The 17,130-nt window shown below is 33.7% G+C and overlaps 2 long non-coding RNA genes across 4 annotated transcripts in view; one reads left to right on the top strand and one right to left on the bottom strand.

Annotated features, from left to right (window-relative positions):
* Positions 1–17,130, bottom strand: part of CALCRL-AS1 (CALCRL and TFPI antisense RNA 1) — a 544,253-nt gene that overhangs the window by 386,565 nt on the left and 140,558 nt on the right. The window lies entirely within an intron of this gene.
* Positions 11,956–16,470, top strand: LOC124906106 (uncharacterized). Its single transcript, XR_007087543.1, has 3 exons — positions 11,956–12,043; positions 12,718–12,820; positions 16,395–16,470. It is a non-coding gene; the product is annotated as an uncharacterized LOC124906106 (long non-coding RNA).

Below are 17,130 nucleotides of genomic sequence, written 5' to 3'. Positions count from 1 at the left end.
ATTTTTTTACCAGTTGACTTCAATGAATATGGGGCATTTTTCTAAATGGAATATTTTATCAAAAGTGGATATGTTTCTGAGGTTAAATTAGTATTAACCTTGTGCCTCAGACTAGAATTCCAGAAGTGAAGTAACAATATGTTTGACATACTCATTAATCAGAGGATGTAGTTTATTACATAAATAAATGTCACATAACAACGTAAAAGTGTTTCATAATTTTATCTATCTAAAGAAAATGTAAATTTTATTTAAAATGTAAATCTTTATAAACTTTAGTTTAATATAGAGTGGATTTCATGAGAAAATTAATTTGTTGGAGTAAATCATTAATAATATTCCTGTTTAAAAAAGGTTATATGATAATTAATTCTATGTGTCAACTTAACTGAACCAGGGGTGTCCAGTTTAAACAATATTTCTGAATTTATATGTGAAGGAGTTTCCAGGTGAAACTAGTGTTTGAATCAATGGACTCAGTAAAGTAGGTTATCCTCCCTAATGTGTTTGGGCATCATTCAATTCCTTGAGGGCTTAAATAGAACTAAAGGTAAAGGAAAAATGAATTCACCTCTTTTTGCTTCTGTCTTCCTGCTTTAGCTGGAACATCAGTCTTTACTTGTTCTTCGACTGGGATTTACACCATTGGTTTACCAGATTCTTGGATTTTCAAACTTAGACTAAATTACACCATCAGCTCTTCTGGGTCTCCAACTTGCAGATCATGAGACTTCTCATCTTCCATAATTATGTGAGCCAATTCTCATAATAAATCTCTTCCTATATATTCTATTTGTTCTTTTTCTCTGGAGAACCCTAGCACAGGTAACCAACAGTGTTAGTTGGAGTTTGGTTATAGTTTGACCTGGAGAATTTTGTATTACAAATCATTATACACTTTGAGGTTAGTCCCAATAAGATCATAGTGTAGTTAATTCCTCCAAAAGCTGTGATAAAAATTATCTTTGCCATTTACTTCTAACAGCTAGATTTTCCTGAATACAGGCAATCCTGAATTTGGTGCAGATTTTTACATGACATCCTACATTTGTCTAGGAGGTTAGTTCTGAGCTTTATTCTTTTCATGAATGCATTATAAAGTTTATATTTTTGTACCGTTAACTAGTATTGCCCAAATTTTCTGCATTAATTAATAAGTATTTTGAAACTCAAATTTGAGTAATTGTCTCTCCTAAAGTCCCCATTTTTATTTATTTAGTCTTCTTATAAAAACCATGGTAAAGCCATCTTTCTTCCCTAGAAATGTCAGGAATTACATGCATCTTTTAATATATTCTTTGATAGGTACCCCGCCCATTCATCATCCCTCAAGTAGAGCACATACTCCAAATGATGGGAACCACCTGATCTGTTTTGCTACATTAGCAGTTGAAAGCCTTTTTCTGCAATTAATATTGCAAAGAGATAACTTCCAATAACCACTGGAAATCATTCTAGCACACATGTTAAATAAATTACTCAGTAGTGAAACTATTTAAATTTTTTCATCTCTGGAGAGAAATCTAACAATTAGGGAGGCCATGTGGTATTCTCAGGATGTGTGAAATCCTCTTTGATGTCAAGGCAAATTGATAAAAATAATTAATCATCCTATAAATATTATGATTTTTTCTTTGAATTCTCTCCACAGAGCATTTTCTTTTTGATAAGAGAGATCTTTTTGTTGTTGTTGTTGAAGAAAATGATAGTAACCATCTGCTGAGTTAAGTAACTATTTGCACTTATTACTAAAATCAGAATAATCCTGTATCTCAAATAAAAAAATATGATTCAGAGAGAGAGAAACATTATTGTTTGAAAATAAGTAATTAAATAATGAAAGATACTTTCCTTTATCCCCTATAAGAAACTGGTATTCCAAAGTACAAAGTGTCCTTTAAACCCTTCCCAGAATGAAGATGCTAGTTTCATAGTTCAAGGCCTGGCAGAACATTAATAAGCAAATCCTCTTACTCTGATTTGTATAAAAAGAATAGTCAGCAACCAGAACGAACAGGATAGAAAGCCACCAGCTTTGTTTGGGAAATTTGAGGGGGAGAAAAGTGATCTGTTTGACCCAAATAACTCATATACTTCCAGTCCAGAAAGGCTTCGTATTTTGAAGTCAAAAGATTTTTTTCCAGGAAGGCACAATAAAATCGGATTTGTCATGAAGTGTTAAAAAAGTAATAAAGCATTAACAAGGATTTGTTAGCCAAATTTTTGATGTAGCTGTGGGAACTAAGGAAATGGAGCAGGGCAAGTATATCCTGATGGGTAATTAAGGAGGAAAGGCCCAAAGCACTCAGCTCAAAAGGACAGGCTGAGGGTGGTGCTTCAGAGGCAGAGTCTAGATTCTGACTACCTAGAGTGACAGAAGGGAGTGCTCACAGAATGATATGAGAGAAAAGTAACAAGGAATGTTGTAACACCACCACAACAAAAAGCCTTGATTTGCTCAAATTTTGCCTAGAAGCAGCACCACATAACGTATGAATCTCCAAAATATACTCCTTGAAAATAAGGAGAAGTACTCCATCCAGACTGTGCAAACCTGGAAGGAATTTCCCCTATGGATTTCATGAAACTCACTCGATGTCAAAGCCAGGAAATCAAAAGAATAAAACATGGAACTAACGCAGATAAACTCCAAATAGTTTCTTATTTGTCATATGAAAGATTTACTTGGAACATATTGAAACAGCAGTTTCTATTATGTTCCCAACTGATCTAGAATGAAATAACATTAGCTAGAAAGAAAACGCAGCCCCTGACATACAGACAGCTAGCCTTGGTGCTCTCCTATTGAACATGAAGTTTCACAGAACATTAACACTAGACAAGACTACTCTCTGACCATGATAGATCAAGGCAAAACAAGACCACTTTGTAATGATGTTTGAACACAGAAAATATGAACATTGTTCAAGTGCAAAATCCCAAACATTCCCCATTCCCAGCTAATACGAATGCTTTATCAATCACAGGTTTAAAGATATGATCTGTTTAGTACCTGATGATTAGGTACATTAAGTACAGAGAGGAGTCCTCATTTCCATGTTACCCATTTTTGGACAACACCCAATCTATACCAAACCCTCAATTCCTTGGGCCCTTCCCCAAATCACCAAACCAAAGCTGAAATCCAGTAGTAACTCGCTTTTTTTTTTTTTGACAGGGTCATGCTCTGTTGCCCAGGCTGGAGTGCAGTGACACAAACATGGTTCACAACAGCCTTGACGACCTGGGCTCAAGTGATTCTCCTACCTCAGCCGCCTGAGTAGCTGGGCCCACAGGTGCACGCCATCATGTATAGCTAATTTTTTATTGTTGGTAGAGATGGGGTATCACCCTGTTGCCCAGGCTGAAGTAACTCTCGTATAACATCCTGACTAAAATACCCCAATGGTTTGTTGTGATGTCCATTCTCCTTCACTGCAATAAATAATAAACCCACCTTGCTCAAATACAGATGTGTTCTTGGTAGTCTTTGGCCAGGACGTTGAATTACACTTTTCCACAAATTTAAAATTTGACCAAATCATTTAGGATAATTTCTGTGAGTGAAATATGAAGAGGTACTTATTTAATCTCTCACACTGTAATGGCAACAAGAGAGTTTTAATTTGCTTTAAAAATCTATTAACTTCCTCATTGCTCCCCTCTTTAAATAAATTGCTTGATAGGACATTTTTGACCTATGAGTAGTAGGTTAATGTGTACCCTGTGAAGCAATTACAAAGGTAAATAAGATACGTTGCGCTGACTGACATTGCAGAAAAGGAGACCACAAAAGCAATTATGTAAAAAATAAATAAATAAAATGATTGTCAGAAAGCAGCTGTTTCTCTGAGCTGTAAATACATCTTTCTCCAATTGGCACAATATTGATGGAAACCTATTGCACCACATCTCCAGTCTTCCTGCCCCCAGTATACTGGTCTACCTTCCAAGTTGACTCTGGGCTTGGCCATGTATCCTGCTTTGCCAAATGGGACACTGGAAAATATTATGGACTGAATTATACCAGCTCTCCAAAATTTGCAGGTTGAAGCCCTAACCCACAATGTAACTATATTTGAAGACTGAGCCTTTACAAAAGTATCTTAGTCCACTTGGAATACTATAACAAAATACTTTAGACAAGATAATATACAAACAGTAGCAATTTATTTTTCTCTCTTCTGGAGCCTAGACTGTGGGGCCTTATTCAAATAGGACTAGTGTCCTTATGAGAAGAGAAAAAGATACCAGGGATGTGAGTGCACAGAGAAAAAGTCATGTGAGGACACAGAGAGAGGATGGAAAGACAAGGAAAGAGGGCTCAAGAGAAACCAACCTTGAGGGTACCTTGATCTCAGACTTCCAGACTCCAGAACAGTGAGAAATAAATTTCTTTTGTTTACACCACTTTACCTGTGGCCTTTTGTTATGGAAGCTTGAGCAGACCAATATAGCAAATATGATGTGAGCAGAGTCTTGGTAAGTGCTTGTATATTGAAATCTTTTTGAGACACTGAAATGGCTATGCAGTGAAGATGTTCAAGTTAGACACATTGATATATAAAAGAGAATGAAGCAATGTACCTGTCATCCGAGACTAAGGCCACAGACACATGGTCTAAATCAAACCATTCCAATATCCTCCATCCATTTGAGTCACTCAAAATGAAGTCTTAGATATCACAGAGCAGAGATAATCCAGGCCTGCCTTACCCAAATTTTTGACATGCAAATTGTGAGCAAGTAAAATGGTTATTATTTTAATCTCCTAAATTTCGAGATGATTCACAGAAATAGGTAAATGAAACAGAAATTGGCACGGGAAATGAGATGCTACTGTAACAAACACCTAAAATATGTACCACTGACTCAGGGATTAGGTGGTGGGTTTGTGTTGGCTTGCATTAGTTGGGATTCTCCAGAGAAAAAGAATTAATAGGATTAATTTTAAGTACTTGATTCATGCAATTGTGGGGGCTGGCAAGTCTGAAATCTGAAGAGCAGGCCAGAAGGCTGGGGACCCAGAGAAGAATTTATTTTGCAATTCAAGTCCACAGGCAATCTGGAGGCATAATTTCCTCTTCCTCAAAGGATCTCAGTCATTTTTTGTTTTCTTAAGTCCTTCAGCTGAGTGAATGGGGCCCACCCACATTTCAGATAGTAATCTGCTGTATTAAAATCCTACCAATTTAAACATTAGTATTACACAAAGAAACACAGAAAAGGAATAGAGGAAAAATAAGAGAAAAGAGCATCCAAGAACCGTGTGACTACATCAAATGGTCCAACATATGTGCAATTGACATCCAAAATGAAAAAGTGAACAGAATAGAAGAAAATTTGAAAACCTAATGGCTCAGAATTGTCTAAAAGTGATGAAAAACAACAAACTATAGATAAGACACTCATGGAACTCCAAGCAAGATAAATATCCTTAAAAAAAAAAAAAAACTAGAAATAGAGAGCAAATTATACCCTAAGCAAGCAGAACGAATAAAATAATAAATATAAAAGCTTACATCAGTGAGACTGAAAACAGAAAAAGTTAATGAGATCATTGAAACTAAAATCTAGCTATTTTAAAAGACCAAAACATTTGATAAACTTCTAGTCAAATTAATTATGAAAAAACAGAGAACACACAAATTATAAATATTGGGGATATAAAAGGAGAATCACTGCAGACCCTCAGATATTAAAAAGAATAATTTAGGAATATTTTGAACAAATTTATGTTAATAAATTTGATAATTTAGTTTGAAAGAGAAAATTTCTTGAAAGATACAAACTGCCATAGCTCCCTCAAGAAGAAATAAAAAACTTGCATAGCCCCGTAACAATGGTCACCAAACTTTTTATGGTAAATATTTCAGATTTGCAGATCATAGAGTGTCTGCTCCAATTTGTATCTCTGCTACTGTAGTGCTAAAAAGCCACAGAAAATTCATACACTAATGGGCATGACTGTGTTCCAATAAAAATTTATTTACAAAAATGGCTGGCTGGCCCACAGCTCATAGTTTGCCAACCCTCATCCTCTATCTATCAGTTCAATCAATGATTACTGAATATCAGGTTTAATTGTATATGCTAAAGATACAATACTAGACAAAACAGATTTTTAGGTCTCAGAGGGTTTGTGGTGTAGTTACTGATACAAATATACAAACAGACAATTAAAATGTAATCTGGGGACAATAACTATAGAGGTAGTGCAATTTTGTGTACAAGAATGTAGGAAAGACACCTAACCCAGATCTTAGAGCTCAAAAAATATTAGAAATAAGTCATATCTAAGTTAACGAATTTACCATAAGAAGGGGATATGGTATCTTAGTAACAAAAAAAAAAAACCAAGAGGTATAGAAATATAAAAATAAGAAAACATGGGGAATTCTAAAAACTGAAAAAAAATTTAGTATGAATGAAGCTTAGAAGATAAATTGAAGAATATCAGAAAAGGAACGAGATAAACTGCGCTAAGCTTTTGCAATAATTTAGGAGTGAAATAATAATAGTTTGAACTATGGTCGTAGAGTGGGGATGCAAGAAGTAGACAAGTTCAGCAGGTGATTGAATGCTTATGGAGAATAAGCAAGAACAAGGAGGAAATAAAGAGCAAAGAAATCCAGGGTTCTAGTTTGAGTAAGCGGGATAATGATATCATTTTCTGGGATACAGAACACAAAAAATAATCAAAATATATGTCTCCAAAATATTAAATAAACAAATATGTTTATTAAGTATCTCTTACGAACAAGAACCATGTTTTATATATATCAGGCCAGTCTTCTTTGCTGTCTCGTAATCCAATGTACAGTGTTTGTATTTGTCCTTTCTTCTCCAGTAGAAAGTGATATCCTTAAACAAATGTGTTTCCTATGTTTGTTTCATTGCAGTCAATAACTAGTATAGTGTTCACCACCTAGAAAGAGAACACTTCCAAGTTCAGGGATGAGAAACCACTGAAATAACATCAGTGTACACTTCCTACACATATATACTTTTTGCAGAAAACTTTACATTTACTATTTAACTCACTTCAATCTCATTATTCATCTGGACATACCACTGGATGAAAACATTTATAATAGAAATGTAAAGACGTAACAGATCATGTGCCATCGAGTTCAATGTCTTCAGACCACATAGGAGGAAACTGAGGGTGATATCAGCGGAAGTTACCAAATTTTTATGAAGAAGAAATGTAGGAAGGGGATGAGATTAGAATACTAGCTTTGATGGAGCATTGCATAATATTTTACACAAGAGAAGGAAAGTTATTGATGAAGTCATCTCTGTGAATATGTATTCGGGTGCATAGGTGAGGTGAAAAGTGCCAGTGGAAACTGGGAAAAGTCTAAAATTCCCCTAAGCCCCACCTTGAATCTCTACTGAGTGGCTTGCTTCTTTTATTTTGACTTTATTTTGGAAACAGATTCACATAGTTTGATTTGCATTGTGACAGGCTTTTAGGTATCAGAAAACTTTCAGAGTCAACTACAGTATTATTATCTTTACTAAAAAGCAATTGAAGCAAAATAACTTTTTAAACATTGACTTTTTAAAGCAAAATAACATTTTTAAACATTGAGGCTTTTTATGATCTGGTTAATTTATAAGAAATGACTGAAAAAAAAAAAAAGCTACAAATGCTGTAAATAGTAAAGACTGTGTGCTGGTTGAGTGACAAAAGCTGACTTAGTTAGCCAGACCTGTTAGGATATCTTTCAGATACATACAAACTAAATAATTTTAATTTATTCTGTTGAAGCCCAAAAGGAAATAGTTTTTTCCCCCAATGTTATGATATTACTGAATGGATAATGGATTTCAAGAATAAAGCACTGAAAATGATGAGATCAGTCACAGACGTAACCTGAACATCACTGGCACTGACCGAATGGCTTTTACTGCCTCTGTGTCACCTTAGAAAGGTGATTCCTGCCACCAGAGTAAGCATAGCAGAGGACAGCTCATACAAAAGTAGAACAGCTGATTCTTTTAAATGGAGCACACAGAGTTTTATGGAAAATTTGAGCACTCTAAAGCCATTCTCTTTTAAACAATGTTAGGCTATTCCTAAACCAAATACAGGTAATGAGTTCATGTGATTTCCAGTATAGCTCCCCAATAATTGTTGAGGGAGAAAATATGAGGGTAATCTGAATATCAACATTGGTTATATTCACTGTAATACTAATTAAATCTTCACAGCATGAAAGCATAACTTTAATGCCATAACCAAAAACCAGGAGAGCAAAAGAGCCTAAATTACCCTTTCTAAAGTGAAGTCAATATGTTTCAACAGCAAGCACTCCAAATGTGCTGTTTAACAATCCATGTTCTAAATTTTATGGGTGAAAAAAATAAAACCTAACCTCAAAACTAAACTCTTAATTGTAGAATATAGTAATAGAAGATGAATTCAAAGCCAGGTGCAGTGGCTCACACCTGTAATCCCATCACTTTGGGAAGCCGAGACAGGCGGATGGCTTGAGCCCACAAATTTGAGACCAGCCTCGGCAACATGGAGAAACCCTGTCTCTACAAAATAGTATAAAAATTAGCCAGGTGTGGTGGTGTGTGCCTGTAGTCTCAGCTACCCAGGAGGTTGAGGTGGGAGGATCGGGAGGATCATCTGAGCCCCTTGAGGTCGAAGCTGCAGTGAGTTGTGATCATGACACTGCTCTCCAGCCTGAGTTACAGAGTGAGACACTGTCTCAGAAAAAAAAAAAGAAGAAAAAGAAAGAAAAGAAAAAAGAAATAAGATGAATTCATCAGCTGTGATTCTGCAGAAGCTAATTTCAATAAAAGGAAGTTCAATTATAAATATATATCTCTAGCAAGTAAGAGTTAATTTGCTATTGAAGGAGTAGTGATAACATCTTTTTTGAGCTGAGACCAGATGAACCAAGTAACCTGAAATGGGTTCTAAGATTTTAGTTCATTTTTAAATAATAGAAACTTCAGGAATTAGGAAAAATCTTTTTATAACTACTTTTTCACAAGGACCAAAGAATATTATCTGTCTGTTTTGCTATTTGTTAATTCAACATGCTTTAAATTACTCCTCATCCAGCTCTTCACCTGAACCTCATACGTTCAAGGTGATCTGTTCAGATTCCATTTCTGCAGAATCTACAAAAGAAGAATGCTTGTTAGAATAGGGGAAACTTGTTAAACAATCCATATTTAAAACTCTTCTAGACACGTAGATTGTCACAGTAGTAAATGATTATTTGAGCGGTAGGGCTTAGAAAAAATCACATCAAGAGATTCTATCAAGCTTATGTATTATAGAAGCAGAACTGTAAAACAGCTACCATAAATATGATTTCAGATTTTATAATTCTTAATTTACTGCAGATACAAATATCACAGGAATTCCTGGAAATAGAATTTAACTGTTTGGCTAGAATTAGTTAACCATAGTTCAAAAATTCACCATTTATGTCTGGAAGTGTCTTTTTTAAAAGTAAGCAGTGTTAGCCCTAGGAGAAGGAGATGGAAATGGCTATCTAGAAAGAGGCACCTAACCCAAGATCTCTCCTATCTCTCACAATTACAGTTTTCAACTTCTTTTGGAGACATCTACTAAAAGGCAATATGATATTTGGGGAAAAATCAGTTCCTATAATAGCCACAATAAGTTAACCCTTTACTATACAATAGAAACTATATATACATAGCTCCTTTTAATCCTTATAACACCTTACTAGGTAGTATTATGTTCCCCAATTTACATATGAGTCTCAAGAAATAAAATAATGGTCTAAATTCATACTGGTCTAAATTCACCACCCTTACTAGCTGAACTTGAGTGTTATAACTCACATCAGAATCTTTCTGATTCCAAACCCCTAATCTTTATTCTGTGTTTTCTCTTACATGGTTAATACAGAGACAGAGATTGATTTATCTGATAAACTTATTATTACTCGTCATGCCATGGCAGAGACTTCCAGGGGTTTAAATAAAAACAAGGAATGTATTTTAAAAGACAGTGGGACACCACTAGTAAAGAACTCAACATAGGCTGCTGCTATGATGTAGAACAGCCAGCACAAGAATTCTGAACTTCTGGGAGAGAGGGTGACTCATAAAAACAGGAGGATACTGCTTGCTCTAGTAAGAAGTTTTATTTAGAAAACGTCTTAGTACAGAGGTAAAACATGTAGTTTCCTTTCAGTAAAATGTATACGTCTTGATAACTCACTTGTCAACAGGGCAAATAGTGTTAAAACAAACATCATTATATTTTTATTCATTTATTCAGTAAATATTTATTTTGAGGACCTATGCTATGTCAGACATGGTTCCAGAATGATATAGTAGTGCAAAGACAGACACAGAACCACCATTTCTGCTTAATTGTGTTGGTTAAAGAAAGTCACAAGACCAATCCAAGTTTAAGTGGAGGAAGCAAAGACTTGATGAAAAAAACAGAAAAGAAAAGAATTTGTAGTTATATTTCATCCGATACAATTTATTTTAGTATATTCTTATTATTTTCAGTGTTTTCCACATGCAATGTTCTCTGTGCACTGGTTACAATTACAGCTTACTGCATCTTGGGCTGCAATTTCTACTATTTGCACAAGTCCAATGAGAAGGAGCATTCACACAACAAATTAAGCAAAGCAAATTTATTACTCATAAGTAGGCAGTAAATAACCCAGAAGCCTAGGATTCAAGGGCAAGCTGGCTTTTTAAGACTCATCAGAAAAGCTGTCCGGGATAGGTGAAATCTTGTCCACATGTGCCTCACTTGCACCACAGCTGAGGGAGCCCACCTGGGTTTTATACCTCTGGAGAAACACAACATGCTGGGATAAAGCATTCAAGAAAATCCTATTTCTCTGAGAAACAGGAACAGAGCCAGGCTTTTTCCCCCTTTGTCTCAGAATGTTGCATTCCCAGCACATTCTACATTCTACAATTATCCTTGAGAACTACAGGAGAAATGAGGGAGAACTGAGTTGGTCCAAGGCCACATGAAGATATGTCTTGAATTCTAGAAAGAAATTAATTCTCTGACGATAAGAGTTGCTCAAAACTGAATGACTATACTTGCTGACCATACTATAAAAAAGTTTATGTAGTTATTAATACCTTTTCCCAATCTGTGTCAATTAGGCCCAAACACCAGAAGGCTGGCCTTTATTTGTGATTAAGGTTATTTATAATAACAATGGAGAACTGTTAAAAAAAATTACCCAAAATTGCTAATAATATCTGCATGTTATTTCAGTGTCATACTAGGACATTATCTAACAGGATCACCCAAGAATAATTTAATTCCCTAGTATGTACCCTTGCTTGCTTTGCTGTTTACTATTGATTAAAGCTAGGACTCTGTAATGTTATATGTTCATTTGTAGTTTTTGTCCATTGGAGATATATAATTTCTTTCCAGAAGAAAGGTTATACTTTATTGCTCTGCAAGGTATTAACCAGTTTTGTGCCCAACCTAGCAAATTTATTTCAGTATACCTTTCCTAACAGTCTCTGTTCTCCAAATGCCCCTTGAACTACCTTTATCATCCTGCTGACTCCTTTAATAATGATTTAAATCAATGTTTGGCATATGCTTACTTGACATTTGTAAGAAAGTCCTGTTTCTAACTTTAAAAATTATATTTTGACAATATCATGATAAAAGTGGAGGTGAAGAAAAGTAGCGTCAGGACTTGCTGATGGATTGGATGTGAAGACTGAGGAAAAGAGAAATGTGAAATATAACTTCTAAATTTTCTCAGACTTTAACAGTCATCTGTGAAAGCAATTTAACACTACAAAACCTACAAGGCTCCCAAGGCACATTTTAGAGCTATGGATGAATTCATCTCGCCTGTTTTAGATCAAAAGCAAAGATATTCTGCCGTTGTCTCAAATATCATCCACTAAGTACTGTAGGTGCATTTCAAAACATTGTTTTAACTTTTTCAAAGAGAATATTCCTGGAAAAATTACTTTTTATCCATGAAGAAGTTGGATAACATTTTTAATGGCAAAAAAACACACTATTCACATTTTGGTAAGAAAATAGAGGAAACTAAAATCTGTATTTCAATTCCATACAATACTTTCAGATTTTTATATAGCCCAAAATAGAGTCAGTAAAAGCCACTAAATCTAAGCATTATAATATTAAATAGTTTATTTATATACCTTTATTTCTATCACTTTAAGCTTACTCAGAGTCAGAAACCATTTCAAACTTTCTAAGGAAAAATTTTAATTTGGAGTAATAAACTTTCAACACTGATTTATTCCCTTTAAAAAGGAAGATAAACAATTTTAACCTATTATCATTTTTATTGAAAATTCCACCATAGCAAAATAATACATGATTATCCAGAAAAAATAAAATTACTCATACTCATAATGCTAAAATAACCACAGTTAATCATTTGCTTTACCTCGCTAAACATGTTTTGTCATGCTTGACCATATGCATATTTTTCTTACTAAAATAGGTCCATATGCTTTAGCTTTTTCTGGGATACAAATCACTCAGAAACTCAGTAGCATACATAATGAACATTTATTTCTTGAGCATCTCAGGGTTCAGCTGCTCAGGGATGAACAGCTCTGCCAACCTCCTCTTAGCGTGCTTATTCTTCTTGGGGTTTAGAGTCTTTGGATCTAGGTTGAATTCAGCTGAGGTGAATTGAGACCAGTGTGAGCTAATCTGAGCATGCTCTTCAGGTTGCAATCACAGACATGCAAGAGGGAGCAAGTGGAATTATGCAAAATTACCTAAAGACTAAGAACTGGCACACTAACACTTCTGCCTAATTCTCTCACCAAGGTAAATTACAAAGGGTGGGGTCCCTTTGCAAAGGAACATCACAATTGATTAAATGCAGAAAGAAAAGAAATGGGGCTATAAGTGCAATTAATCTACCACATGTTTATACTTAATATCAGTAATCTGATAATTTTTGTATCTCAGTAAGCATACAGATTCTACTTATTTTTAATGATTCCACAGTATGCAAACATATGGATTCCTCACAATTTCTTTACAAATCTATAACATTTATAACTTTGTGAATTTAGATCTACCACTTTTACTATAACAAAACTTTTACTTAAAAAATCATAAGCATACAATCTGTATATTGACCTTGTATCTGGAAAAGCTTGCTAAACTCACTTATTAGTTCTAATCACTTTTGGTGGATTTCTTAGGCTTTTAGAATCATGTTATCTTCATACAGAAATAATTTTACTTCTTCCTTTTCAATCTGGATGACATTATTTTCTTATCTAATTGCCTTGGGTAGAACCTTAAGTATAGTGTTGAATACAACGCGTCAGAGTGTACATCCTTGTCTTGTTCCTGATCTTAAGGAGAAATCTTCAATCTTTTACCATTAAGCATGCTGTTAGCTGTGGGTTTTGTGTAGATGCTCTTACCTCATTGGAGATCCTAGGCTGTTGAGTGTTCTTATTATGAAAGGATATTGGATTCTGTTAAATACCTTTTCTGCATATATTAAATAAGCACGCAGCTTTCATTAATTATTCTATTAATATGGTGAATTACACTGATTGATTTTCATGTGTGAATCAATCTTTTGCTTCTGAAATAAATCCCACTTTTTTCATATTGTGTAATACAATGTACATGTTGCCAGATTTGGTTTGCTAGTATTTTGTTGAAGACTTTTTAATCTATATTCACAGAGGATATTTGTCCATAGTTTTCTCATGGTGTCTTTGTCTGGTTTAAGTATCAGAGTAATATTGATCTCATAAAACAAGTTCGGAAATATTCTCTTCTCCTATTTTTCATAAGAGTTTATGAAGGATGGATATTAAATCTTGGTTAAAATTTGGTAGAACTGATCAGTTAAGCCATCTGTGATGGTTTTGTTTGGGCGGGGAAAGGGGGTAGGTGGGTCAGTTTAATTCTTGTAGGACTATTTAGAATTACTATCTTTTCTTGAGTCAGTTTTTGTAGTTTCTTTCTAGGAATTTTCCACTTCATCTAAGTTATCTAAAGCATTATCATACAATGGTTCATAGTATTCTCTCATAATTCTTTTTATTTCTGTAATAACTCCTCTCTTTCATTACTGATTTTAGTAATTTAAGTATTTTCTATTTGTTTCTTGGTAAATCTAGCTAGAAATTTGTCAATTTTGGTGATCTTTTTAAGGAACCAAATTCTGGTTTCATTTCTTTTTGCTACTTGTAAAATATTTCTATCTTATTTATTTCCACTACTAATTCTTACTTTTGTCTACTTTTGGAGGGTTTAGTTTATGGTCACTTTTTTAATTTATTAAGGTGGCTGCTTAGGTTATAGATTTAAGATCTTTTTCTCTTTTTTAGGAAAGGCATTTTCAGGTATAAATTTTTCTCTAAGCACTACTTTAGCTGTGTCCTGTAAGTTTTGGTATGTTTTATTATCTTTTATATTCACCTCAAAGTTAATTTTTACGTATTTATAAATTTCCCAAATCCTTTCCATTATTGGTTTCTAATTTTATTCCCTTCTATTCAGGTAATGTGCTTTGTGTTATTTCAATCATTTTATATTTTTTATATTTGTTTTATGGCTAAACATATGGTCTATACTAGAGAATGTTCCATGTACACTTTAGACAGATGTATATTCTGTGGTTGTTGGGCATTCTACAGACGTCTGTTAGGTCTAGTTGGTCTATGGTGTTATTCCAGTATTGTATTTAATTGTTCATCCCTTGTCTATTTGTTCTATCCATTATTATAAATGGAATACTGAAGTGTATAACTATTATAGCTGAATTGTCTATTTCTCCATTCAGTTGTGTAGTATTTTGCTGCATGTATATTAGAGTTGTTGTTAGAGCCATATATGTAAATTCTTGCTCATTCTTGATAGATTGAGCTTTTTATCATTATGAAATATCTGCTCTTCTCTATAATAACATTTCTTGTTTAAAGTCAATTTTTCTGATATAGTTAGTTATTCCAGTTCTCTTAAGGTTGCTATCATAAGGCACTGTTTTTTGGTTGATATATGTTTTTATTGCTGTATGTTCTTGGTGGATTGAGCCTTCTATCATTATCAACATCCTTATCTCTTACAATAATTGTGTCTAAAGTCTATTTTATCTTAGATTAATATAGCCACTCAAGCTCTTCTTTGTTTACTATTTGCTTGGAGTATATTTTTCTATCCTTTTACATATAATCTATTTGAGTCTTTGAATCTAAAGTAAATCTCCTATAGAGGATATATAGTTAGATCATGTTTTTTTAATCTGTTATGCCAATTTCTGCCTTTAGATGGAATAATTAATCTATTTATACTTAATATACTTATTGACAAGATTTACATCGGCTATTTTACTATTTGTTTTCTGTGGCTTTTTTATTTTTTGTTTCTCTATCCTCCACTAATGCTTTATTTTATATTAAATATTTTCTAACCTATCTTGTCATTTTTTATACATTTTTTGAGCTTTTTGTGGTTTCCCTGGGATTACAATTAATATTTTAACCAATAACCCTCTAGTTTGAATTAATACCAACTTAACTTCAGTAATATACAAAAACTTTGGTTCTATATGTCTCCATTTATTTCCTGTTCCTTTGTGTTTCTGTCATATAAATTTATGTATATATCCATCAACACAAGTTTATAATTATTGCTTTATGAATTTGTCTTTTAAACTAGATAGGAGATTTTAAAGAGTTACAAACAAAACACACATATTGTACTTTATGTTTCCCTTATAGTTACCTTTACTGATGCTCTTTATTTTCTCATGTGAATTCAATTTACTTTTTAGTGTCCTTTCCTTGAAATGTGAAGGACTCCCTTTTAGTTAAGAGTTTTCTAAGAAATTATTTTAGGGTGTCTTCTAGTATTGCAGGGTGAATTCTCTCAGTTTTAATCTGTAAATTTCTTACTTTTTCCTTCACTTTTGAATAACGGTTTCAATGGACTTAGAATTCTTGGTTGACAATCATTAAAAATTTACTTTAAATGTGTCACATCAGTGCCTTATTACCTCCATGGATTCTGATGAGAAATCAGCTGTTAAATCCAATTTAGGATTCTCATGTTGATGAGTTGCTGCTCTCTTGCTGCTTTCAAAGTTCTCTTTCTCTTTCTATAGTTTGATTATTATATGCCTAGATCTGAATATCTTTTAGTATATTCTACTTGGAGTTCATGGGCTTTCCTGGCTGTGTAGGTTGCTGTTTTTTATAAAATTTTGAAAGTTTTTAATGATTATTTCTTGAAATATTATTTTGCCTCTTTTTCCCCACCTCTGCTCCTTCTAGAATTTACATTGTGCATATGTTTGTACATTTTATGGTGTCACATAAGTCTCTAAGGCTTGCTTAATTTTTATTCATTTCTTTTCTGTTTGTTCCTCAAGGTGGATGATCTCAATGGACCAATATTCAAGTTTGCTGACTCTTTCTGACAACTCAAATCTGCTTCAGTACCTCTCGTGAATTCATTTCAATTATTGTACTTTTCAACTCTAGTGTTTATTAGTATTCTAAATTTGAGGAGACATTGCTTACACATTTTCCTTCAATTCTTAGACATGGATTCCCTTAGTTTTTGAACATATTAAAAATAGTTAATTTAAAATATTTAACTAGTAAGTCTAACACAGCTTCCTCAAAAATAGTTTGTATTTACTACTTCTTTATTCTTGTGTAGAGGCCATTGTTTCTTATTTGCATGTCTCATAATTTTTTTGAAAACTGGGCATTTAAAATAATATAACATGGCAACTCTGGAAATTAGAGCCCCCTTCTCAAGGGTGTATTGTTGTTATTCCTGTGTTGTCATTTGTTGTTGTTGTTTGTTTAGTGACTTCCCTGGACTAATTCTGTAAAATCTATATTCTTTACCAAACTGGCCACTGATATCTCTGCTCAATTAACTTAGTGGTCAGCCAATTTTTGAACAGAAAAATCCTTAAATTACTCAAACCAATCAGTTTTCTCAGGCTCTGCATGTGTATTGGGGTGTCTCTTTAATACTTAGAAGTTTAGACAGCTCTAAACATGTTAGAGCTAAAGACACCTATGACAACATCTCCTTCCCCAGTTCTTCTTTTTAATATTTCTGGTCAGCTTCTTATTTGCCCACCTGATAGC

The sequence above is a fragment of the Homo sapiens genome, chromosome 2 (genome assembly GCF_000001405.40).
Source record: "Homo sapiens chromosome 2, GRCh38.p14 Primary Assembly".
Lineage (NCBI taxonomy): Eukaryota > Metazoa > Chordata > Mammalia > Primates > Hominidae > Homo > Homo sapiens.
The sequence above is the reverse complement of the archived record's forward strand: the minus strand, read 5'-3'. Positions and strand labels throughout refer to the sequence as shown.